Genomic DNA, 25,294 nt, shown 5'->3' on the forward strand with positions numbered 1-25,294 from the left:
TTTCCAAAAATGGCCATAGCAGTATTTCTGGTCCTGAATGCATTTCCAGAACTCTGCCACTCTCTGTCCGAAGGCGGAGTGTCTCTTCCCTCCCCTTGAGCCTGGCAGGTCTCTGCAACTTTCAGCTAAAATGAGGTGGTAAAGGAGACGCCCATTACTCCTGAAGTTAGGTCAGAAAAGCTGCTTTTGCCTGGCTCTCTCTATCTCTTGGGACACTTGCCCTCGGAACCCAGCCACCATGTTGTGAGGAAGCCCTGGCCGCTTGAAGAGGCCAACAGCACCAACTGGCCACCAACACCCAGCACTGGCCTGAACGAGGCTTCAGATGATACTGACCCTCCTAGTGTCTCTGCTGAGACCCCAGACGTTACTGGGCAGAGAAGAACCATCCCCATTGCACACAACCAAGTTCCTCTCATAGGATAATAGATGGTGGTTTTATGCCACTCTGTTTTGGGGATAGTTTGTTACACAGCTATTGTAACTGGAAGTGTGTGCACATGTACGTGCATGCTTATGCCCACACACAGGAAAATTTCTGAATATCTGGACAGAGGAATTGGAGTTGCTGTTCATTTGTTTTCGCCTATTCTCTAATGTTTCACCAATAAGCTGGTACTATTCATGTAATAAAAATAAAACTGAAACAACGTGAATAAACTTCTCAAATGGAAACAGGACCGCGGCGGGGATTCAAGCATACTGTGCCAGGTCAGCCTGTGCCCTGCTGCCCTCCGGGCGCTGGGACAAGTCCATGGAAGTGTTGAGAAGGACGGAGTGAGCTCTGGCCGAGAGGACGCTGCTGCAACCCTGCTTCCAGCTGGAGTGGCTTCTGCACCTGTGTTTGTTGAACAGCAAGCAGCCTTCGTGGAAGGGGTTCGGGTGCGTGTGTCTGTGTCTGCAGAGGTGGAAGGGGGCCCCTGGTAGGCCAATAATGCATTCCTGGCAAAACTTTTTCTCTCCAGATTCCAAAAATCAAATTAATTAAGGGGTAGCCTCGAACGCTACCTCTAAGAACAGTATTAAAATATTCATATAAACGCCCACATCTTGAGTTTTAGGAATGCAAATCACCGGGTGATGATTCAAAGAGACTTCAACACAAAATACAGTGTGTTCCACATGCCCCTGGCCATGAAATAATAACAGTCAGGTCCAGGGCCTGCCTTGCAGTATGTGGAGAAGCAACGGGCCCTGGCCACTGATTCCTGAAGCCAGGGTGGTGTCTTGTACGGACACTTCATTATCCCTGTCCCTGCCTCCCACTTCCTAAAGCTCCCTCTAGCATCCCACCCTCTGCAGTGTTCAAAGGTCGAATAGCCGCTGAAAGCTTTTGAACCGAGGAAGCCTCTGCTTAGGATCCACACTTTAGTAGGAACAGAGGAACCTGAAGCCTCCTTGTCTTTCCATCCTCCTTTGCCCTCCATCATTTACCCAGGTTGGAATTTCCAAACAACCTGAACCAATCAAGGTGGGTTTGCTTCTTGACCTAAGCACTTGGTGTGAGGCAGGGAACCTGGGAGAATCACCATACTTTGGTTTCCAAGTACCTGGGTTCTTTTGTTTTTGTTTTTGTTTTGTAGAGATGAGGGTCTCACTATGTTGCCCAGGCTGGTCTTGAACTGTCCTCAAGTGATCCTCCTGCCTTGGCCCCCCCAAATGCTGGGATTAGACATGAGCCACCATGCCTGGCCTATTTAAAAAGTGGGTGTCCACCCGGGGTTCCCCAGGTAGATTGCAGGCAATGATGTGGGGGTGCTGGGGACAGCCCATCAGCAAGTCCACCTCCAGCCAGATGCTAGGAGTGATGTTCACCAGGGGGCCCCAGAGGATAACAGTGCAGAGTGCCCAGGGTCATGGCTCTCCAACTAGGAGGACGAGCGACGCCACAGAGGAGGTCTGGAGCCAGCCCCGGGGATCTGGTCTGGAGACAGGTGGCATCACATTCCATTTGCTGGGACTGGTCTGGGAGTGGAGCACAGGTCTCTGAGGTCCGTCAGGGATCAGGGATCCCACGGAGAAGCAGGGGAGCTGGAGCTCTCTGGAGGCCCAGCGCCAGTGCAGGGGCTGAGAATGCAGGTATGGGCAGCCAAAGTCTGGGGAGGTGCCACTCCCTGGGCAGGAACTAGAATGAACCCAAACTGGCCTGGGCTGCTGGGGGTGTGGGAGGTACGTGGAGGGGAGGAGGGTTCCAGGAACAGCTACAGGAGTCAGCTGAGGACACTTTTCCCCACGCCCACCATGCACCCTGCATACCACAGAAATCTGGTGCCTACAACAAGCAGAGCTCCCAGGGCAGCCCAGGGTCTCTGTGGACAGACAGGAAGAGATCCAGGCTACTCTTTGGGGGTGAGGAGGGCATGGCCCTTGGCACAGAGAGACCACCAGGACCCTGGGAGCCTGGAGGCTGGGAGCAGGGTTGGGGGTCTCTGAGATAAGACCATCCAGATGCTCCTGGCCCCTCCTGGAGGGGAGACCAGGTGAGATTTTCCATGGCAGTGCAGTCACCTGTGGGATTTGGTGTCCTCTCTGGTGGGCGTGGCCCAAGACCCCAAGGCTCCTGGTGGGGCTGGCGTCTCATTCCTGGAGCCTCTCCTCCCTGTGAGGCACAGATCAGGGTCTCGGGGAAGTCAGGATGGGCCTCCTGTCCCCTCTTCCACCTGACTCAGCACTGGGACTCTGATGAGGGGTTGAGGCCTGAGGAACTTCCCACGGTTGGGGACTCCCTGGGCTCAGTGAGCTCTGAGATGGTTTCTCCAGGGCGCGAGCATCCTAGCCTCACGTAATCCCCTCCTGAAAGCACCTCAGTTTCCCCTTTGATTGGGTCTATCTGGGTGGCAGAGGAGAGAGCCTGGCAGGGCACCAGGAGGCAGGGCCTGGCGCGGAGACAGTGGTGGTCCCTGCAAGTGCACCGAGGCCCCGAGACCGCAATCCTCTCCCAGCACTGCCTGTTGTCGTCAGCTTCACCTGAATGGTTTATTGAAAGCTGTCTCTGCCATCTCTCCATGCCAGCCTTAGCTCAGGCACCACCTCCCCAGGGAGGCCCTATCTGGCCTCCCAGGTGCAGTCTCTTCCCCAGCACCCCAGTGTTCTGAAATCCCCTGGTCCACCTGTTTGCTCGTCCATCACCCATCTTCCCTCTTGGATGTCAGCTTGATGAAGATGAGGACTTGTGGGCCGGGGCCACCGCCTGCCTGTCCCAGCTCAGTGCCCACACAGCCTGGTAGGGCTCACACCATCTTTGTTGGAGGCAGTGAGCCAGTGGGTGACCCAGGCTCTGAGGTGGGTGCAGGTGATGTGGCAATGAATAAAACACAGCCACTGATGTCCTAAAGGGCTCAGGTGGGTGTGCCCATTACCCAGTTACCTTCAACAGATGGCAGATCTGTGGGCGAGGAGTTTCTGGCTGGAGTTCTCAGGTACTAGGCAGGGGTGTGACGGGGTCGCACATGGACTCTGGGTAAGGTTTGGATGGACAGAATAAAGGAAAGAGCCCTTACTTTGGGATGTAGGGTGGAAATGGCACAGAGGCAGGAGAGCACGGGCCTTACCTGGGCCAGCGCAGGGTAGGCTGGGGCCCGCCCACCCAGGTTCCTCTAAGCCTCCAGGCCTCCAGAGCTGTTTTCTCTGCACCCTCAAGCTCCCTTCCATCCTACTCCTCCTCCCAGGCCCCCTCGCTGTCCTCCTGCCCCTCCTCCTGCCGGACACTAGGTCTTCACGGGAATCCCCAGGACCCACTTTCCCCAGAACTGGGGGAACCCTCGAAAAGCCCCCACAGCCCACACTCCTAGGTTTGTGAGGGGAGCTCAGCTCTGCAGCTGTCAGCCCCTGGGTCCCGGCCACGGTGTCTGTCCTCACACACAGCTGAGGGACTTCATTTTGCCCTTTCCCCGGCCTGAGGCTGAGGGACTTCCCCTGACCCCCCACCCAACCCCAGCACTGCTCTCCCCGCTGACCCCCCACCCAACCCCAGCACTGCTCTCCCCATCGTCCCCTGCCATCTCCAGCACCTAAAACCACCGTCCTGGGGTGGGGAGATCCACTTGGGCAGACTCTTGTTTGGTGGTTGCTGTCTGCAGCCATGAGGGAGGAGGGGGCGCAGGAGCCTAGGTCGGGGGGTTTCTAGGGGCTGTAGTCCCCACTGGCCTTGGGCATGCGCTGCCTGTGGTCCCTCAGGGTGCAATTTTCCCTGTAATGAGGCCTGCCCCCGGGAATATCTACATCTGGCATGTGTCTGGGAGTGGGTGGTATTCAGAGGGAGTGGCGCTGGTGTCAGTGCGGACTCCTTGGGCACTGCCTTCCTCCCAAAGCCTCACACACAGCGGTGGGACCGGGGTCCTTGCCTGGCACAGGAGGCCTCACTTGAGTTTGCAGCCAGACCAAGGGGCAAGTGTCTGCCAGGCCCACTGAGCTGGTTCTGGAGGGACTCTGCCTACAGGAGTGAAGGGCATGGGGGGCAACCCCATCCTTCCTCCTTCCGCTTCCCTTGCTCTCCTGCCTTCGGTACCTTTACCAAACCAGGTGGTATGTTCCTTATGTTATCCTAGGAAGTCAAACACAAGCAATGGCTAGCATCTACCAGACACATACGGTGTGCCAGGCCCTTTTGCTAACACTGACGCTCTCCCCGCAGGTAGAACCTGCTACCCTCGTCCTTCTACAGCTGAGGGGGTGGAGGCACAGGTGGGGCGGGTGAACGGCTCAGCCAGCAGGTGGGACAGATGGGATCTGAGCCAGGCAGGCCGGCTGCGGAGCCCCCGCACCAAACCAAGACCCCAGACTGCCTAGGGCTTAGTGCGTGGTATTTCTTATTTTACTCTAAGGGAAATCACCTAGAGGTCATGGCAAACCACCTTTTATTGTATGGGGTCCTGAGCGGGCTCCTGTCCCCGAGGGCCTCAGCAGCTGAGCCAATGTAGTCCCTGTTCCACAGCAATGGAGGATTACAACAATGACCTGGAACCCGAAAGACCCAGGCTTCGGAAAAGCTCACGTTCATGCCGCTGGACTGATGAGAACAGGGAAGGCTTCACTTTAGAAAGCGTTGTTCACAGCACTGCTTGCAGCCAGCAGGACTTCCCAAGGACGTTCTCAGTCAGCACAGAACTGGCACTGCCCAGGAGCCCCCTGCCCCGCGCGCGCAGGGTCTCCCCAGTTCTGTGCCCACACCACCTGCTCCAGCTGCACTCGTGCTCCCAATAGGAACAGGTGGCCCAGAGCCCTCCGCTGCCTGGCAGGATGGTGGGGGAGCTTTATTTCCCACCCCAGTCTCCCGGGTCTGATGCCCTCCAGCCCACCCCGCCTCCCACCCATCCGTGTGACCTCAGCCTGTGGCTCCTGGCCTCTCTGCTTCTCACCACGCCGTGGCCACTGTGGTCAGAGGCCAGTCCCCCAGTGTCACGGGCCTCCCTGCCCACGAAGACCGTCTGGACGGCCAGTTCTGAGCGGCCATATGTGTGGGTGGAAAGGAGTCTGAAGGCCAAGCCAGTCTCCAAATAACAATATGGAAAAAATGTTAAAGAGGCGAGCGCTAACCTGGGATCGCTGCAAGTCTTGTTCGTTAAAATAAGGAGGAAGGAAAATTGGCATGGGAATAAGGAACATTACAGGGTATTTCCTGCAAGGAATATGGGACATACTTGGAAATTTCTTGAGGCATAATAAGTTTACTGTCCCTTTTCTTAAAAAAAAAACATTGCTGTGGCTCACCTGTCCCTCCTTCCCCACCAAAAACAGTTATTTATGGGTGTAAAATATTCCCTGTTTCAAGCAACTTAAGAGAACAAATACTGCTGTGAGAGACTCCCCCAGCAGTGAAAGATTTGGCACACAGTCAGGATCTGAGGTTTGGCTATTTGCTTTTAGCCATTAATTGCTGTAGAAAGCCTTTGAAAAAACCCTGTATCTGGGAGTCTCCTGCTATAAAAGACCATTTAGAACCAGTGGGAAGCTGGTCTTTAAGTTCTTGTCGACGGAGACTCCAGTCTCCAAGCAGGAACTCCCAATTACACATTTACTTGATAAAGATATAGGCGCTACCTGGGGGGGTAATTAAATGTGAAAATCCCTCTTTGAACCTATCATTGTGGGATGCCCAAATTTGGCCCTAGAGCTGCTGCCTTTGTGAGCCCAAAGAGAATCGCTGTGGGATTGAGGAGAACAGAACGGTTTCTTTCTCCCCCTCCTTCATTAAGAATGCTTTGACCTACTCTCTTATAGTAAAAATTATTAATTAAACGCCCAAACGCAGCCGCTTTGGCACAGGGAACTATTTAGAAGGCAAACACCGAAATTAAGCCCAGACACAAACGCATTCTACTGCAGAAGATGCTACTGATGCACCTTTTGTGTGAGACAGTGAGGAAGCCGGGGTTTCTGAGACTGTGTGTGCCAGGCATGTTGCTTGGCATAAGACGTAGTCAGGTTTAAGACAATCCTCTCGCAAAAGCAGCACTCCTTTTGCCCGCGGTGGTGATGGTCCTGGAGATGGAAGGAAGAGTGGAAATGGGGATGCCTGTCCACTCTGAGCCTGGTTCGTTTCTCTTCTCCACAGGATTTGGGGTGTTGATTCTGTTTCTTCTCTTATCACTGCATTTATTAGAGTCCTTGACCCTCCAGAACCTGTCACCCACCTCGTGTCAGGACCCAGCCTTTGTGGTCAGGATTGCAGCACCCTGAGCCCACCTCGAGACCCACAGGCTTAACTGTGAAGTGGCTCCCATCGGTAGGGGACCTGATGTTGGAGTCCTTAATAAGGAGTGAGCCCTGAAGTCTGGAGACATTTCAATTGCCCAGGTCACTGGGTGAACCTGTAACCAAGAGGCTGCTGGCCAAAAACTCATCAACAGCTTGTGTTTTCCAATTTCCATCTATCATATCCGTAGGGCAATGTTCAACGCATAAGGTCCAAGTGAAGGTTTGCACTAAAAACATTCTGTTGAGTAAACACAAATGGCCATTAAACACACGAAATAAAGCCCCACCTCACTAGGGACCAGGGAAAGGTAACAATTAAAGCTTCACCCATTCTGAAGCTAGCAAGTGGAAAAGATACAAAGATAAATTGTCGTTGGCATAGACGGTGACACCCAGTGTTGGTGAGATGTGGAGAAACGGGTTCTCTTGCCCACAACTAAGAGCAAGCATGGATGCCATCTTTCCAGAGGGCATTTTGGCACTGTTTTCAAAAGCATTAAAAACATGTGAGCCAATGTGTGCTTCCAACAATGTTGGACTAGCTTATTTCAGATCAACCCTCCTATCAAGAACAACTAGAAAAGCTGTAGACAAATGTATAAATCACCTGCTTGAAGTCGTGGGAGTAGCCCCAGGGCAGTGAGCACTTGAAAGGTCCAGGTCCTGGAGAGAAGAGGAACACAGGAGGATAAGCTGGAAGTTCGGTGCCTATTTCTCTCTCAAGGCAGTTGCCGGTTCTCTCTCAGCTGCAGCTGAGAGGTTGAGAAGCTAAGCAACAAGCAGTGATGGAGGGGCTGAAAAAGTGGGTGAACTGCTGACAATCTCATAAGGAAAAAGTGGGTGAACTGCTGACAATCTCACAAGACAAGGGAACAAACATTGGCATGGAGGGTATGCAAAAGAGGAGTCAAAGGTAGATACCCCAGGCCTTCATTTCAGGGGCCCAAAGAGCTACCTAGAGTGACCAACCACCCTGGTTTGTCTGTGACTGTCCTGGTTTTAGCACAGAAGGTCCTCTGTCCCAGGAATCCCCTCAGTCCAAGGCAATCCAGGGTTCTTGGTAACTGCTGTGGTTTGAGTGTCCCCTCCAAAACTCATGCTGGAGTTGAATTGCCACTGTGAGGGCATTAAGAGGCGGGGTCAGGTGGGACCTTTAAAAGGTGATTAGGTCATGGGTCTGTGCCCTTATGAATGGATTAATGGACTATGGCTTGTCATAGGAGTGGGTTAGTTATTTTGAGAGTGGGTCTGTTATAAAAGCCAGTTTGGCTCTCTCTTGTGCACCCCACTTGCCCTGTGTACCCCGCTTACCCTGTGATGCCTTCTGTCATGGTACAAGACAGAAAAAAAGGTCCTCAGCAGATGCAGCTCCTTGACCTTAGAATTTCCAGCCTCCAGAACTGTAAGAAATAGATTTATTTTTATTATAAATTACCCACTCTGTGTATTCTATTATAGGAACAGAGAACAGATGAAGATGGTCACCCTAAATAAACCCTGGAATTCATGCTGACACCCAGGTTCAAATCCTCTCAGGCCCTAATTAAGTTAGGTGATCTGCCATTGATGATGACCAGAAGCAAAAGTTAATATTCTCTGGGGAAAGATAACACCCAGGGTCTTGAGTCTTTTCTGCAGTTTTCAAACACAATAGCTAACATTCCATCAAAACTAACCAGGTATGAAAAATGATAAGGTTGGAGCAAGAGGAAAAAAATAAACAATACAAAAAATCCTCTGGAGATTCTGATATTGGTGTTACGAGGCTTTTAAAAACTAAAATAACTGAGATTAGTATATTCCAGAAATTAGATAGGTATTTTCAGCAGCATCCTGGAAGCAATAAATGGAAACTTTAGAACTTAAAAATATGATACTAAACTTATGGGAATAGTTAAGTTTAACTACAGATTAGACATAGCTGAAGAAAATAAGTAATTGTGAAGATAGTTAGAAAAATATATCTAGACTGAAGCACAAGGAGAAAAAAATGAAAAATACAGAAAAGAATTTAAGAGAAAATATGTAATTAGAGTCCAAGAAAGAGAGAGGAGAGAGATTAGAAGTAATATTTGAAGACAAAATGGCTGAGAGATGACAAAAATGATGGAAAACAGAAAACTACAGATTTCAGAAGAGCTATAAAGCACAAACAGTACAGATTAAAAAAACACACCTAGACGCATAGCAGTAAAACTCCTGGAAACCAAAAAGAAAACTCCAAAAGCAGCCATAGAAAAAAAACCATATTTCCTTCAAAGAAAACAATGAAAGCTAATGGACAACGGAACCATATGTTCAAAGCACTGAAAGTAAATTGCTGCCAACATATAATTATATACACAGCAAGAATATCCTTCAAAAGTGAGGGTGATGTGAAGACATTTTCAGACAAGTGAAAACTAGAATTATTCACCAGAGCACCTGCACTGGAGAAACTAGCAAAAGAGTTCCTTAGGCAGAAGGAAAATGATCCTAGATGAAAGCACAGAGATGCAGGGAAGAATGAAGAGAAATACAAAGATTTAATATGCAGGTAAATCTAAATCAAGACCGATCATACAAAACAACAATAATAATGTTTTGGGAATACTATATGGCATTTTGTAACGATGAAAGATCAATTCACCAGGAAGACAGTAATTCTAAATTAGCCTCAAAATTGTAAAGAAAAAAATTGACAAAACTAAAATGAAAAATAGACAAATCCACCATTATCCTGGGAGATTTTTAACACAACTCTCTTAGTAACTGAAAAAACAAGTAGACAAAAAAAAGTCAGCAAGCATACAGAAAATTCAAACAACACATTTAACAAACTTAATAGATATATGCAGAACTCTGCACCACAAACTGCAGAATGTGCCTTCTTTTTAATTTGCACACGGAGCATTGGCTAAATTTGACCATATTCGGGGAAATGATACAAACCTCAATACATTTCTAATGACTGAAATCATGCAGACTGCGTTCTTTCACCACATTAAAATTAAGCTGGCAATCAAAACTAGGAATCCCCAAATGTTTTTAACTTAAGTTATATGTTGCTAAATAACCCCGGGTCAAAAAGAAACTCAAATAAAAATTCAAAAATATTTTGAGACCGGGAGCGGTGGCTCACGCCTGTCATCCCAGCACTTTGGGAGGCCGAGGCAGGCGGATCACGAGGTCAGGAGATTGAGACCATCCTGGCTAACACGGTGAAACCCCGTCTCTACTAAAAATACAAAAAATTAGCTGGGCGTGGTGGTGGGCGCCCGCAGTCCCAGCTACTCGGGAGGCTGAGGCAGGAGAATGGCGTGAACCCAGGAGGTGGAGGTTGCAGTGAGCCGAGATCGTGTCACTGCACTCCAGCCCGGGTGACAAAGCAAGACTCCGTCTAAAAAAAAAAAAAATTTTTTTCTTTGAACTGAATGATAAATATGTGATATAAAACCTTGAGATGAAGCTAAGCTATACTGAAATGGATATGTGAGAGAAGTAAAGAGGATAAAATTTAATGAGCCAGGATAAATACAAGTGATTCCACTTATATGAGGTACGTAGAGTGGTCAAGTTAACAGAGACGGAAAGTAGAATGGTGATTTTCGGGGGCTTATGGGGGCAAAGGAGTTAGTATTTCGTGGGTACAGAGTTGCAGTTTTGCAAGATAAAAAGAGTTCTGGAGATGGATGGTAGTGATGGCTGCATAACACTATGAATCTACTTACTGTTACTGAACCTTACACTTCAAAATGGTTAAGATGATATATTTTATGTGTATCTGACAATTAACATTTTTTAAATTAATGAGCTGAGCATCCATCTCAAGGAATTGGGAAAATAACAAATTAAACCTAAAGAAAATAAAAGGAAAGGGGTAAAGAATATAATAGCAGAAATTAATGAAATAGAAAACAAATTTGCAAATAGAGGTGTTCAATAAAGTTAACGTTTCTTTTTGAAATGAGCAATACAGTCGGTAGTAAGTTGGGTTTCCTGGGCAGCAGATTCTGAGATGAAGAGCACAGTGCTGAAAGGTTACGAGGGACTGTTCTTGGAATCCAAGGAAAGCGAAGGGAAGGGAAGAGAAGAGAAAGGGAAGAAACCAGGATTGGGTAAAGGAAGAGGTTGAGCTGTAACTCAGCCTCACAGGATGCCTCAGCCAGCTACTCAGGGAGGACGGAAGCTGACACCACCCTTGAGAGTCATCCCAAGCCGGGGCCAGAGGCAGATCTTCATGTCCCATAGTGAGCAGTCATCCCGTAGGCTGCCCTGGAAAGGGCGCATGACACTGGGAGTCACCAGCACTCTCGGCAGCTGGGGCAATGAGCACTTCATTTCTGAAGGGGGATTCTGGTAGCTCTTCACCTTACGAGCAGGGTGAGAAGAAAGGAGCCGCAGATTGCCAATATCAGGAAAGCAGTGGGGGACAGTGAAAGGTCTTACAGACCACTGAAAAGAAAGCGAGAGGATTTTGTCGACATATTCAGTCCTATCTGCTTGAAAATTTAGATGAACAAATCCTCTCACCCAAGCAACTTTTTAAAATGAACACGAGAAAAGAAAATCTGAATAATTTTATATCTATTAAATGTATAATTAGAAAACCTTCCTGTAAGGAAAACTCCAGGCCCAGATGACTTCAGTGCATTCTTCTGAATATTTCAGGTAGAAATAATGCTAATCTGATGAAAGCTCTTCCAGAGAACAGAAAGCAAGGAAACGCCACCCGCTTGTCATGAGGCAAGCATAACTTTGATACCAAAATCTGATAAGGTCATTACGAAAAAGTAAAATGGCAGGTCAATCATTCTCACAAACATTCTCACAAACATAAATATCTGAAACAAAATATTAGTTAAGCAAACCCAAGATAGATAAAAAGGTATTCCAGGAATATGAAGTTGGTTTAATGTGCAGAAAGCAATGGAATTCACCACACTAACAGAATAAAGAAGGAAGTCCTGTAGTAATTATATCACTGGATGAAAAAAAGGGTTTGGTAAAATCCAACACCTGTTCATAGTGGAAACTACAGAAGCTGTGAATGGAAGGGGATTCCTTAATCACAGAGGCACGAAAGGAAAATAAATCTCCCCAAAATCACTAAGCCAAAGGCAAAAGTCGAGCCGGGAACTGCCTTTCATTCTAGTCCTAAATAAGACAGCTACAAAGATTAATAAAAAGCTACCTACCTCCCTCACCATTTGCCCGCAAGGAAATTCCTTGTGGACAACGGACAGGCAGAACTCAAGTCATCCCTCTGCTCACGTGAGACAAATGCATATCCTATTGCTTCCCCTTCCCTATGGTTTCACTGAGCCAGGCTAAGACATAAGTGACTATTCCTGTACAGTGTATGTTGAGTGAAAGGCTAATCAGAAACTCAAAAGAATGCAACCATTTGTCTCTTATCTACCTATGACCTGGAAGCCCTCTCCCTGCTTCGAGTTGTCCTGCCTTTCCAGAACGAACCAATGTACACCTTACATATAATGACTGATGTCTCATGTCTCCCTAAAATGTGTAAAACCAAGCTGTGCCCCGACCACCTTGAGCATGTGTTATCAGGACCTCCTGAGCTGGGTCACAGGTGTGTCCTTAACCTTGGCAAAATAAACTTTCTAAATTGATTGAGACCTTTCTCAGACACCTTTTCGGCTACAAAGGGTATCTACACAAAAACCCCTACAACAAGCATCATACTTAACCATGAAATAGTGAATGTTTCTCCCTTGAGATCAGAAAACACAATTCAGACTAGAAAGAGAAGAATCCACAGATGGCTCCTGGCTTCAAGGGAGAGAGATTCTTCTGGACTTTGGAAGGGCACCTGGGCACGTGAGTGGTGGAGGGAAGTCCTCTAGCCTCAGAAGAGGGTGCAGAGGATTTTTGAAAGGTGGTCAGGTGGTGTCATCACAGCAGAGACGAAGGGAATGAGCTCTGGGCAGATTTTGACCACTCTCTCCTTACCCAGCAAGGCTGGCCTTTTGGAGTAGGGAGCGCCTGAATCCCAGGATGTTGTTGGAGCTCGGGGCCTGGGACAGAAGAGGTTCTCAGCAGCGTGCCTTGTGTAAATGGTGACTCTGAAATAGCATAGCTGTCCAGGCTGAGTGGGGGCCATAAGGGCCTGAGCTCCAGGCAAGGCTCTGTGGTTGAACTCAGTGCCGGGCAGTATTGCCACTTAGGTGCGTCTGCAGGGCCAGGCAGGTGGTGGCAGACCAATACCCTACAGCAGCTCTGGGTGGCCTCACAGAGCAGCCCCACGCGGGGCCTGAGCAGCTCCTAGGGCACTCCCACAAGCCCCTGTGGCTTTTGCTGGAACCTGAGGTAGGCAGCAGGCACCCAGAGTGATCTGCATCGCATACCCATGTGGGTAGTACCAGTGGGGGCAAGGCAACTCAGAGGCAAGTCAAGCATTATGCATCTTTAATTAGAATCAAGAGAGATCGGATTTCGTGCTGCTAAATTCTGCCAGCGGGGGTAACTGTAAAACCCCATGGCTGCCCATGAGCCCTCTGAAACCAGGAGAGGACGGAGGCTAGCGCGGGAGCAATCTCTGCCATGGGACTTGGGGTCCCCTTTATCCCCTCAGAGGAACAGCCTGAGTGCAGCCGCTCCATCCTCAGGGTGTCGGGGACATTGGGGCCCTCCAGCTCCCAAACATTTGCGCCATGGTGAGGTGACGGTTTGCAGACAGGGCTGCTTCTGCAGGAGCTTAAACTCCAGGAGAACAGGGAGTGGTCTGAATGCCTGGGCACCCCAGCACCCAGCAGTGACTGAGCTGTGGCTGGAAGGAGAGGGGGTGGATGCCGAGAATCAAGGACGGGTGCAGTTCTTAGTCCTCTCCTCTAAGTTCTTCAGACTGTGGGCCCGTGAACTTGTGAGCCAAGGAGAGTCCTCGAGGGGACACTTTCCTTCTGCCTGGCACCCCACTGTGGCATTTTGGCCTCCAGAGGAGTAAGAGAGAACGGTCTTTCTCCCAGGGGTTCTCCTGCCCAGGGTTTAGAAAAATCAATACAATTGATTAAAGAAAGATGGTGGCACAGGGATGCTTCATCTTCCCTCCTTCCTGACCCGGGGACCCACAGCAGAAGCTGAGAAGAGGAAGCCTCCCGGCCCCTCCCTCAACACCAGCCTCCCCGGCGGGACCCTTGCTCTCCAGCACACGCCCAGGGGTTCTGGTTTCCACTGCAGCCTCTCTTACTATCCCATTTTGTAGCCCGTGGGGATGCGCCTTTTCATAAAGTTTCCCTTACATCTAAAGCATTACAAGATCATGGTAGAAGACATCTTAAACGTGGAGAAGCCGCAAGCAAGCTAAAGAATAAATTCTTCATAATGCTTTTTTTGCTATTTCTCCTTCCAGAGATTTTTCCTCTGTGTGTGTGTGTGTGTGAGTATACATAGAAAATCCCTATGCTTTGCTTTTTTTTTTTTTAGAAAAATGAACTTATTCCCTACATGCGGTTGTATATTTTGCGTCTTTCATTCAATAGCATGAAAATTCCACATTATTCAATATTCTCAACACTTTTGGCTGCACAGTATTTTATATTTGGAATTATTACAACCAGGCTAGTACCCTGTTGTTGGACATTTACACTGAAAACTATTCTGAGAATTCTTTTGCCCTTGACCCTCAATTATTCTGTTCTTTCCTATGATAGTTCTAAAAATTGTCTTCTTGTGAACACTCTGATTAGTTCACTGTTTTGATTGTACCGTGCACCCACCTCCACTTCCCAGGTTCAAGCGATTCTCGTGCCTCAGCCTCCCAAGTAGCTGGAATTACAGGTGTGTGCCACCACATCCAGCTAATTTTTGTATTTTTTGTAGATTTTTGCCATGTTGGCCAGGCTGGTCTTGAACCTCTGACTTCATGTGATCCTCCTGCCTCGGCCTCCCAAAGTGCTGGGATTACAGGTATAAGCCATTTGCTCAGCCAACAGCACAGATTTATGATTTTACAGTGCAACAGGCCGAAAGACATGGGTCTCGGTGGAATAAAGTCAAGGCCTTGGCAGGCTGTGCTGTCTCTGGCGGTCCCGGAGGAGAATCCACGCCCTTGTCTTTTCCATTTCTAGAGGCGGCCCTCATTCCTTGGCTCCTGGCCCCTTCATCCACCTTCCAAGTCTCCCTGTGCCTCTCGTCCACAGTCCCATCCTCTTCTGACCACAACTGGGAATGGATCTCCAATTTTAAGGATTGCGTGATTGGATTGTTTTTGCCTGAAAAAATCCAGGATCACCACCCCATCTCAAGCTCCTGAACTTCAACTGCGTCTGCAAAGCCCACTTTGCCCCATGGCATGACTTAGTTACTGTCTCTGGGAATAAGGTTGGGGGCAGCATCTTTAGGGGGCCATGATTCCACTTCCCACAATGCTAATAACTCCCATTTTTCGAGCAGCTGCTATTACTGTCAGTGTTGAACTGGGCACTTTACAGGGATTATCTCATTTTACCCCAGCCCCAAATCCACAAGGCAGATACTATGGTTATCCTCACGTGGCAGATGAAGAAAGTGAGGCAGAGAGCAGTAGTTTAGAAGCCAAGGCTAGTCCGCATGAGTAACACAACTCAGCAAAAACTATGAGCCTTCTTGGTTTGTTTATTTAACGACAACATTGAAACCTTAATATAGACCTGGAATTTTCTGAGGAATTGCTGTTTATAAATGCTGAGCCGGCCAAGTCTGTTTTTACTCCTCAGTGTTTGCTAAGTGTCACGAAATCCTCAGGTGGAGGCTGTGGGGCTGGGCCCACGTAGCTGCCTCCCACCGCTGAGGCAGGGGCTCGAGCCGCGATTTGCCAAGGATGACACATTTCTCATGGAACCGGACGTGGTTCTGCGTGACTTGCAGGTCCCAGTGGCACTTGTGGAAGCTGTTAGGTTGCGTACTTGGGCCCTCGTAAAAAACTTTTTCATAAAAAAATTTTCAAAAAAATATTTAAAGAAGTCCTGAGCGACTCCACTCCCACCTTGCTGGCGTGAGGCAGTCATATTCGGCCAGAGAGGAGGCTGCTTCTATGGAATGGCATGAAGCACATTGCCGTGGCCACAGCACAGCAGAGCCTGGAACCCCGCCCCGGGAAGGGACTGCTTTCTGTCCTCAGATGTCAAGTCGCCATCCAGCAGGGCAAGGCAGGAAACACAGTAGGGTCAGGTCCTTCAGGGGCCTCTGAGGCAGGTGGACTTTCTTTTCCCCAGAGGAGCCACAGCGAGGTCCCGTTGGCGTCTCTGAGAGGAGGGTTGTCACATTTAAGCGGAATGAAAACAGGACTCCCAGTTAAATTTTTTTTTTTTTTTTGAGACAGAGTTTTCGCTCCTGTTGCCCAGGCTGGAGTGCAGTGGCATGATCTTGGCTCACTGTAGCCTCCGCTTCCTGGGTTCCAGTGATTCTCCTGCCTCGGCCTCCCGAGTAGCCGGGATTACAGGCGCCTGCCACCACGCCTGGCTAATTTTTTTTGTATTTTTAGTAGAGACGGGGTTTCGTCATGTTGGCCAGGCTGGTTTTGAACTCCTGACCTCATGTGATTCACCCGCCTCGGCCTCCCAAAGTGCTGGGATTACAGGCATGAGCCACCGCGCCCAGCTAAATTTGATGTGGATTGTATTTCAGAGAAACAATGAATAATTTTTTAGTGTATGTTTCCAAAAATGCATGGCTTCATATTTACACAAAAAATTATTTGTTGTTTGTCTGAAATTTAAATTTAACCAGGCATCCTGTATTTTATCTGGCAGCCCTACACAGCGGGGAAGACACACACTTCTAATTCAGGCCCCCAGTTCAGTGAATCCAAGCCTTGTGGTTTAGCCTCCCTGACTCAGGGAAAACAGTTCCATGCCCTCTGTGTCTCACAACATTCTTTTGCCTCTTCCCTCTTTGCTGCCAATCTAAATTTGTTAAGGCCTAACTCACACCTCGCCTTGCCTCCTCCTCCAGGAAGTCTCTCCTGATTGCACTTCACCCTTTTAGTTGAAGGCTGAGGGAGGCCTCTGGTGTTTCCAGAACTGTGCACCGTCCCAGGCTTACTTACAGTCTGGTGAAAGAGGCAGATGTAAACAGAAATATTCAGAGAATGTGAAAATGCATTAAAAGATGTAGCAGGATATTTGGGTGGGAAATGAAATGATTTTATTTATTTATTTATTTATTGAGACACAGTTTCACTCTTGTCGCCCAGGCTGGTGCGCTATGGCGAGATCTCGGCTCACTGCAGCCTCTGCCTCCTGGGTTCAAATGATTCTCCTGCCTCAGCCTCCGCAGTAGCTGAGATTACAGGCTCCTGCCACTATGCCCAGCTAATTTTTTGTATTTTTAGTAGAGATGGGGTTTCGCCACGTTGGCCAGGCTGGTCTCGAACTCCTGGCCTCAGGCGATTTGCCTGCCTCGGCCTCCCAAAGTGCTAGGATTACAAGTCTGAGCCCCCAAGCCCAGCTGGAAATGATTATTTGAAAACACCTGTCCACTTCCACCTTTGATGTGGAGTGTCATCCTTCCTTTCTGTGAGTCAGATCTCTACCTGTTTTTCAGGGACAGTAGGAGGAAGAGAGAAGGAACAAGGGATTCCTCAGAGCTTCTGCTGTACCCCCCACTCCTCTAGATGCTGTCCCTACTTTGGCTGAGCATCCATTGGTGAGAATTTAGATACACGAGGGTAGGTGCAGTGAGTCCTGGGGGTGAAATTTCTCTGTTTAAACAAGCCAGGGACCTTGCAGGTGTGGGGAGGCTGCAGAGCGGTGAGGAAACTTGAGGAGGGCAAAGACGATCGGCAGAGTCACAGGCTTGGTGGCCAAGCAAGGTTCGAAGCGGCAGAGCCACCAGGGCCTTGGGGCGTAGAGGGGTCTGGGTTCCGGGTCCCAGGTACGTTCGTCCACAGCATCACCCCTCCTCTGCTCACAGCTTCAGCAAAGCCTGCTCCGGAGCGCCGGTCTCCTGTGCGTGAGGTACCTGCAATAAAGAAGGCTGGATCGCACTGCCAGGGCCACGTAGAGCAGGTCCTGCCACTGACAGCAGGAATCACTGAATCCAGACTAAGAACTGGAGCCCTTGTAAGAAATCAGGCACCGACAGGCGTCTTGAGGGAAGAGTGGAGACATCCTTGTCAGCAGTCCTGGAGGAAACGTGTTAGTTTTTATCCCTGGTCCTAACTTCCCCAGGTTTGGAAACTGAACAAGACTAAAATTCCTTGGGGTTTAAATATTTGACTTGACACGGCTTTTTTTTTTTTTTCCTGGCTAGGAAGTATTTACATTTGAAAGAGAGAATTCAGTCTGATAGCCCAACTACTAGTCATCTAAGAGGTTGCCAGAAACCAGTGTCCTAGCAAATATGTTGACTGGACAAGCCCAGGACTTACTTGAGAGGACAGAGCTGGAATTCTGAGGACAACCAATGACGACATTGTTCTCTATGTGCCCACAGGAAGGGCCCAAGTGCTAGCCTGGTGATGGGCCTGGCCGAGGAGGACGTGCGATCTGGGGTCATTAAGAGCTCCTCATTGATCCTGGAAATGCAGTGTGTTTTTAAGTGGATTGGTTTTACCAGTGAGCATTAGAAGTGTTTGAGGATGCTGCACATGCCTGATGAACGACCGTGCCCACGCCGTGAAGGAGCAGGGCAGAAACTTCCGCTCAACAGGATCTGGTGCTCAGACGCAGGCAGGACGGCCGTGCGTACCTGAAGCAGCCTCTTGGTGGGAATCCCACCGGCACCTTAGTGTGGGTGTCACTCACTTGGTGTGTGTGTCACTCACTTTGAGGCCTCTAGGATTCTCCAGAAAGGTAAGTACCCCTGCCTGTGTGTCCAGTTTCTGCTTCTTGATCAGTTCATGCCCCCTAACTCCGTCATCTGGGTTTGGAGTGGATGCCTCTTGGAGAGGTCACTCCTGTTCTTAGCCTTCTCCTGGATTCTGCCAGTCTTTGGGCTCGTGAATAGAAGCCAAGCCTCACAACTACATGAGAGAAAGCATTAGTCCTGGCTGGATAGGAGTGGGGCTCCTACCAGATTTTAAGTGACGAAGTCCCAGCTATTGGCAAATTCTCTTTGCCCGCTTATGCATTAAAAAGCTGTATCCACTTTCATGGAGGAACCGGTGGCCAGATGTCTTCAGCTTTAAAAATATTCCTCCTCCCACCTGTAATCACAGCACTTCGGGAGGCCGAGGCGAGTGGATCACCTGAGGCCAGGAGTTCGAGACCAGCCTGGCCAACATGGTGAAACGCCGTCTCTACTAAAATACAAAAATTAGCCAGGCGTGGTGGTGCGTGCCCGCAGTCCCAGCTACTCGAGAGGCTGAGGCAGGAGAATCGCTTGAACCCGGGAGGCGGAGGTTTCAGTGAACAGAGATCACATCACTGCGCTCCATCCTGGGTGACAAGAGCAAAACTCCATCTCAAAAAAAAAAAATTATATATATTCCTCCTGCTGAATGTTGCAATGTCACAAAAAGCCAACTTCAGGGACTGTCCTCTTGTGACCACCAAAGACCGATATTCTTAGGAGAGTATTTTCTGCCTGAACCTTGGTCCCTCTTTCGTGGGTGTATTAGGGACGCTGGAAAGACAAATTCTTGAATCCGCGCAGAGCCCTGCAAGCTGGGCAGGAAATGGTTCGGATTTACTTCAGGTTCACTGTGGTTGTTATTTATGCACTGCAAACCTCCAAAAAAAGTTGTCTGGCCTCGTTCAACCAACCAACCAGCTATTTTTGAAAACCGCAGAGCAATGGATGATTGTGTTGCACAAGCTTCTGTGGACGCAGCAACAGGTGGGAGCAAACCAGGGCACACTACCGTCAGCCATTGTGGAAGCATTTCCCGGAGCATTTGGATTTTGGCTACAGTCCAAAGTCAAGGACAACTGGAATGAAGTACCTCCCACACTTACGAAAGAGCACGGAGCCACCAGCCACCAGAAACCCACTCTCAGGCTTACTAAGAAGTCTAAACTGGTTTTGCAACTCTTAACCAGTGGTCCAGCCAATCAGCTGTAAAGAATGTATGAAGAATTAAGAGAAATGGGGCAAGAAGGGGTCTTGAGGGGAGCAGTAGGTTGTCATGCAGTGGGAGTGCCAAGAGGTGTCCCTCGAACCAGGTCACGTGATGCCAAGAGATACCCTTAGAAATCAGGGTGCCGCCAGAGGGGACATGACTGTGTGCCCACCCTGTGCAATTAGCTGAACGGTCCCTGGTGACAATGTTCCTGAGAGATATTTGGTGAATGTTTGGAAGTAGAAATGAGCAGAAAGAATGATGCCTGCTTCTCTCCTAGAAACCTCTGAGGATGGGAGACTGGTTGGAGCAGCCGCCAAGTGCCAAGGAGAGCTGCCAGGTGCAGAGGGAAAAGGAAGTTGTCAGTCAAGGTCCCAGCAGAAATTCACCCTAAATGGTTAAAATAAAGAGATTTATAAAAATTGAGTTTACTGAGACAAAATCTATACAAAATTACACTCATTCTGTTAAGGTGTCCCATTCAATGAGTTTTGCAGAATATTTCCAGTCATGTGGCCACTACCACAAACAAGATCCAGAACATTTACATCACCCCCAAAAAAGCTCTAGTAGACACACCAAAGATTTCTCCAGAATGTCCACGCCATACGCTGCCGCCGGCAGTGCAGGGGAGTTTTGGTTGCCCCGCGTCCTCACCAACACTCGGAATGGCCACCATGTTTATTTTAGCCATTCCAGTGAGTGTACGACCACCTTTCACAGGTCTTCACTTGTATTTTCCTGATGGCCAACAAAGTTTAACTCTTTTGCATATATTTATGAGACACATGCAGGAAGGTATTCTGATGTGTTCTTTCGGGAGGTGTCTATTCAAGTCTTCAGTTCCTTGTATGTTGGGTTGTCTTTTCCTTATTGATGTGTAGGAGTTACATAAATATTTTGAATCCAAGTCCTTTGTCAGATGTATATATTGCCAATAGATAGTGCTGATATCCCACTCTACCTGTTGCCTTTTGAAGAATATTCCTGAAGGCACTGCTTCAGGTGGGGTGTTGAGGGACCCAGGACTAGCATTAGCAGGGAACCACTCCCACTGATGGATGAAGGGGAAACAGGATGAATTGTTGTCATGTGAGCCCAGTGAGGACTGGCGGTGGGGAGGTCGGGCAGCCCAGCCAGGGCTGTGGATGTGGGGGCCACACTATGGCCAGATGCAGCCCTGTAGCAGAGACAGGGGGTGAGGAAGGCCTCAGACTCCTCTTTCCCTCCACCCTCCACTCCCCTGCTGGAACCTCCATTGGCCAAGCCCAGAAGTCATCCAGGAAGAAAGTTCAAAGATGCAGTCCCTGGGAGTCAGCCTCCTGGGACAGAGAAAGACAAAGATGGGAAGGCGTGGATCAGGAGAAGGGTACAACGGAGGATCCCCAGAAAAGAGGGGCTGCAAGAGATTATCCAAAGCATATGTCTCCGGGGTTAAGAAACTACACAGGGTGCATATCCCCGTGGGGCCTCTGAAGAAGCCACAAAACGCGGTCCTCATGAGAGCCAGCATTTGGGTGGCTGCCATGTGAGAACTACAGCTGCAGAACTAGTTAAGTTAAAAGGGAAAAGATTTCTTGCTTACTTCCTCTAATCCCCCATCCCCCTGTCCTGCCTATAAGGGTGAGAAGAGAGAGGGAAAGGGAGAACTAGGAAAAGAACACGTGTTGCCCCTTCCCTACCCCTGGCCCAGACACCAGCCCAGCCTGTGCTGGGGGCTGTGGGAGGGGGAGTTTGACATGGATGTCAAGTTCAAATTGACTCTTTAATACATAAAAGTGAGTCATTCTCACAAGAAGCAGCCTTTTTCTTGACTAAAAATGCCTGCAAACAGGTGAGCCGGCTATCTGAGATGTCATCAAGGGGCAGGGAAAGCTGATAGGAGTGGTCTTACCTGAAGCCAGGATGTAAGGAAGATCAAGCCATTTCCTGTCTGCTTCTCACTGAGTTCAGACCTTCCCACAGCCAGTTTTAAGTCATAACTCAAATCCCTCTTTCTTCTACAAGCACAAGGCTACGTAGCTTTCATGCATTGTCTTAGTAACCCTCATGACCACTCTACAGTTCAGTACTGTTACTATCCCTGCTTTACAGATGAGGAAATTAAGGCAGACAGAGGTTAAGTGACTTGTCCAAGTCCACACCAACCTGCTGTCAAGTCCAGCAAACCTGATTCTAGAGCCTAAGCTAAAGGCTCTGTGCACACTCCCCATGCCTCACACAGCAGCTGAGAGTGTAGAGTTGTGACGTTGTCTATCTGGTTAGGAACCTCAGAGGCAGGGCTGGTTCCCAGAGTCCATTCAGGCTGGTGGGCAGCTAAGAAGTGGGGGATTGCAGGGCATCAACCACCGCTGATTGAGGGTTGGAGGGGACCCCACATCCCCAGCTAAGAAGTGGGGGATTGCAGGGCATCAACCACAGCTGATTGAGGGTTGGAGGAGACCCCACATCCCCAGGGGGATTGGAGGAAGACCAGGGCCTCCTCATGCAACCCACATTATAGCAGCAAAACCCCTCCTGCAGTTCATGTTGCCACCTCTGGCTTCCAGGTGGAGCAGGGACTGGTCCAGGGAACCCTCGCAGATCCCCCCTGTGGGTTGCACAGTCACATCCACAGAAGCCCAGTCTGGAGAGTTCTGCATGTGGCTTACCAGGTATCAGGGACTTCCGGGGCCAAGACTGGGAAGAGTTGGGGTGCAGCTCCCAGTGGCCGGTGCTCAGGGAAGTCACGCAGGGAAGTCCTGGGAGGCCTAGGCTGCCTCATGGAGAAGCTGCATGGATGTGCAGGGCACAGGCGCACAAAGTTCTGGGGCCTGGGAGAAAAGAGGAAGGAATCATTACCACATGTTCAGGCTGCAGAGGCTCCGTAGCAGAGGAATAGGGAGAAGCAACCAGTAACGGAGGTGGGAGCCGGAAAGGTACCAGGTGTAAGCTGGGGGACAAGGGAGCAGGCGGACAACAAAGGCAATATCTTGGGGAGGCAAGAGGCAGAGGAGGTTTGAATTTTGCCCCCGCCTGTGATGGGCTGCCGGGTGGACTCCGCCGTCCTGGAGCTCCATGCAGGGGCCAGCGCTCATGTCCTGAGAGTGCGGGCGGCTCACAGCACAGAGGACTTGCACTGTGCGATCGCACCTCAGCGGTGGCCGTGCAAGAATGGCCTCATCTCTTAGGTTAGCTCCTGAGAGGGCCTCACTTCCTCCACCCACGGAAGCCAGAGCTCAGCTAAATCAGCGAGGTTCCTTACCCCTGTGCTGCCGTCCACCCAGAGGGCCCCGTTTTGGACATGTATCATCTGGGTTTGAATGCAGCCCAGAACCCAGTCCCAACTCAGCCTCACCTTCATAGGCAATCAGGTTGTCTCTGGGAAGCCCAGGCCTCCCAGAACTTCCCTGAGCACTGGCCGCTGGGTGCTGCACCCCAACTCTTCCCAGTCTTGGCCCCAGAAGTCCCTGATACCGGCAAGCCACACACAGAGCCCTCCAGACCAGGGCTTGTCTTGGGGTAAGATTGTGTACACCACAGGGAACCCGCCAATCCATAACACATAACAGGCCCCTGTCCTGTTCACAAAGATGTGTAACTTGGTAAAACACCATGCAGAAGTAAAAATGCACTATTGCGGTGATGTGGCCATGAGTCCAGTAGGGAAATCATTTTCCACGCTCTTCCTCTGTGGACACCATCTCCTCGAATGTGACTGGGGATTGGAAGCTACAGCTTCTAGAGTCCACAGGTCTTTCTTTTTTGCTGGCAAATTCGGACAACATCTACTCTGCTACAGGCTTCAGCCCATCTCCTATTTGCCAGAATTCACCTCAAGAAATCAAGAACAAAGCGTCATCTCTCACTTCAAAACGTTCTTGGAGGCACGTGGTTTCCGGGCCAATGGCCCACGGAGCAACAAGCCCGAGTCTGACTGTGACGGTATCACCGTGGTGCAGACCTCACCCATGAGTCTCCATCTGCGAGAAAGACACAGGGCGGCGGTGGGAAACACAAAGAGGACAGGAAAGACCTGCGCCGGAAAGGGATGGAAGAGCAGGCTCCGAGCCTGATGCACAGGACAACGGCTGCATTTCAACAAGGAAGGACACCTCCTGCTCCATTCTCCACTCCTCCTCCTGCAGGGGCAGGGATCCCACTTCCACCAGCGCCCAGGTCCTCCTCGCCACCCTGGTGTGATGCCAGCACCCTCTATGGGGGGTCCTCCTATGGTGCCAGTGACAGGCCCACCTCCTCCTGAGGGTGATGCCATGGGACCTGCTCCTGGAATGAGGCCACCCATGGGATGTCACATGCCAGTGTTACCCAGGCCCCCAGGATGAGCCCGCCCACCCATCGCATGGTGGAGCCCACGCAGCCCAGAATAACTAAGCCAGACAGATTAGAATAGTGGAGAGACCTCGTCATATCAGCTTTTTGCTATTTGTTCTTCTCCAGGAGACCATGGTGCTGTGACGCTGGGTGTTTCCTTAGCAGCATAAGGAAGACCTGCTCCCCCTTCCTACCAGAGAATAGTTTTGGAGGGGAGAAGTGAGACCAAAAAAGTACAGTTTTCATCTGTATTGTGAAATGTGAACATAAAATTGCCAACTCTTTCAGTTTTTTAAAAAAAAAAAGTCTTGGAAAAGCAAATAAAAACCACAATGAGATACCACTTCACATCCACCAGGATGGCTATAATTTTAAAAACGAAAAGTAAGTGTTGACAAGGTTGTGGAGAAATTGGAACCCTCGTACATCGCTGGCAGAAATGTGAAATGGCTCAGCCACTGTGGAAAATAGTATGGCGGTTCCTCAAAAAGTTAAATATAGAGTTCCCATATGTCACAGCAATTCCACTGCTAGGAATGTACTCCAAAGAATTGAAAACAGATACTCACACATGTACCCCATGCTCATAGCAGCACTAATTCCAACAGCCAACATGTGGAGTCAACCCAAATGTCTATCATGAATGGTTAAGCAAATGTGATTTATCCATACAGTGGAATATTACTCAGCCTTAAAAAGGAGTGAAGCACTTGTACATGCTCCAGTATGCAGGGACTGTGGAAACATGATGCCAAGTGAGAGAAGCCAGGCATAAATGGTTACATACTGCAGTATTCCACTTATAGGACATGCTCAAAATAGGTAAATCCATAGAGACAACAACTTAGTCTTTGCCCAGGATGGAGGGAAAGGGGAATGGGAAGCCACAGCTTACCAGGTACAGAGTTTCCTTTTGGGTGATGAAAATCTGGGCTTAGATAGAGGCGACGGCTGCACCATATCGTGCAGTTACCAAATGCTACTAATTGTTCACATTAAAATGGTTAATTTTACGTTCTGTGAATTTCAAGCTTTCAAGTACTGGGGTTGAATCTGGAGACGCAAGGTCACTTGGAATCTCTAAGTGTTATTTTCTTAGCCTTTCCTCTTTTTTTTTTTTTTTTTCTTGAGACGGAATTTCGCTCTTGTTGCCAAGGCTGGAGTGCAATGGCACGATCTCGGCTCACTGCAACCTCCGCCTCCCGGGCTCAAGAGATTCTCCTGCCTCAGCCTCCTGAGTAGCTGGGATTACAGGTGCACACCACCACGCCCAGCTAATTTTTGTATTTTTAGCAGAGATAG

General features: G+C 49.4%; 1 pseudogene, besides 3 other annotated features; it reads left to right on the top strand.

Moving 5' to 3' along the window:
• Positions 4,154-4,655: an enhancer, noted in NCBI's record as "H3K4me1 hESC enhancer chr15:102083271-102083772 (GRCh37/hg19 assembly coordinates)". NCBI's record gives its function as "activates a minimal SCP1, AML or CMV promoter by ChIP-STARR-seq in primed H9 embryonic stem cells {active_cell/tissue: H9 hESC(primed)}" and the evidence as "EXISTENCE:reporter gene assay evidence [ECO:0000049][PMID:30033119]".
• Positions 4,656-5,155: an enhancer, noted in NCBI's record as "H3K4me1 hESC enhancer chr15:102083773-102084272 (GRCh37/hg19 assembly coordinates)". NCBI's record gives its function as "activates a minimal SCP1, AML or CMV promoter by ChIP-STARR-seq in primed H9 embryonic stem cells {active_cell/tissue: H9 hESC(primed)}" and the evidence as "EXISTENCE:reporter gene assay evidence [ECO:0000049][PMID:30033119]".
• Positions 15,743-15,943: a silencer, noted in NCBI's record as "peak2457 fragment used in MPRA reporter construct". NCBI's record gives its function as "represses an SCP1 promoter by STARR-seq MPRAs in K562 erythroleukemia cells {active_cell/tissue: K562}" and the evidence as "EXISTENCE:reporter gene assay evidence [ECO:0000049][PMID:32103011]".
• Positions 23,574-24,298, top strand: SNRPCP18 (small nuclear ribonucleoprotein polypeptide C pseudogene 18; annotated as a pseudogene).

The sequence above is a fragment of the Homo sapiens genome, chromosome 15, assembly GCF_000001405.40.
Source record: "Homo sapiens chromosome 15, GRCh38.p14 Primary Assembly".
NCBI lineage: Eukaryota > Metazoa > Chordata > Mammalia > Primates > Hominidae > Homo > Homo sapiens.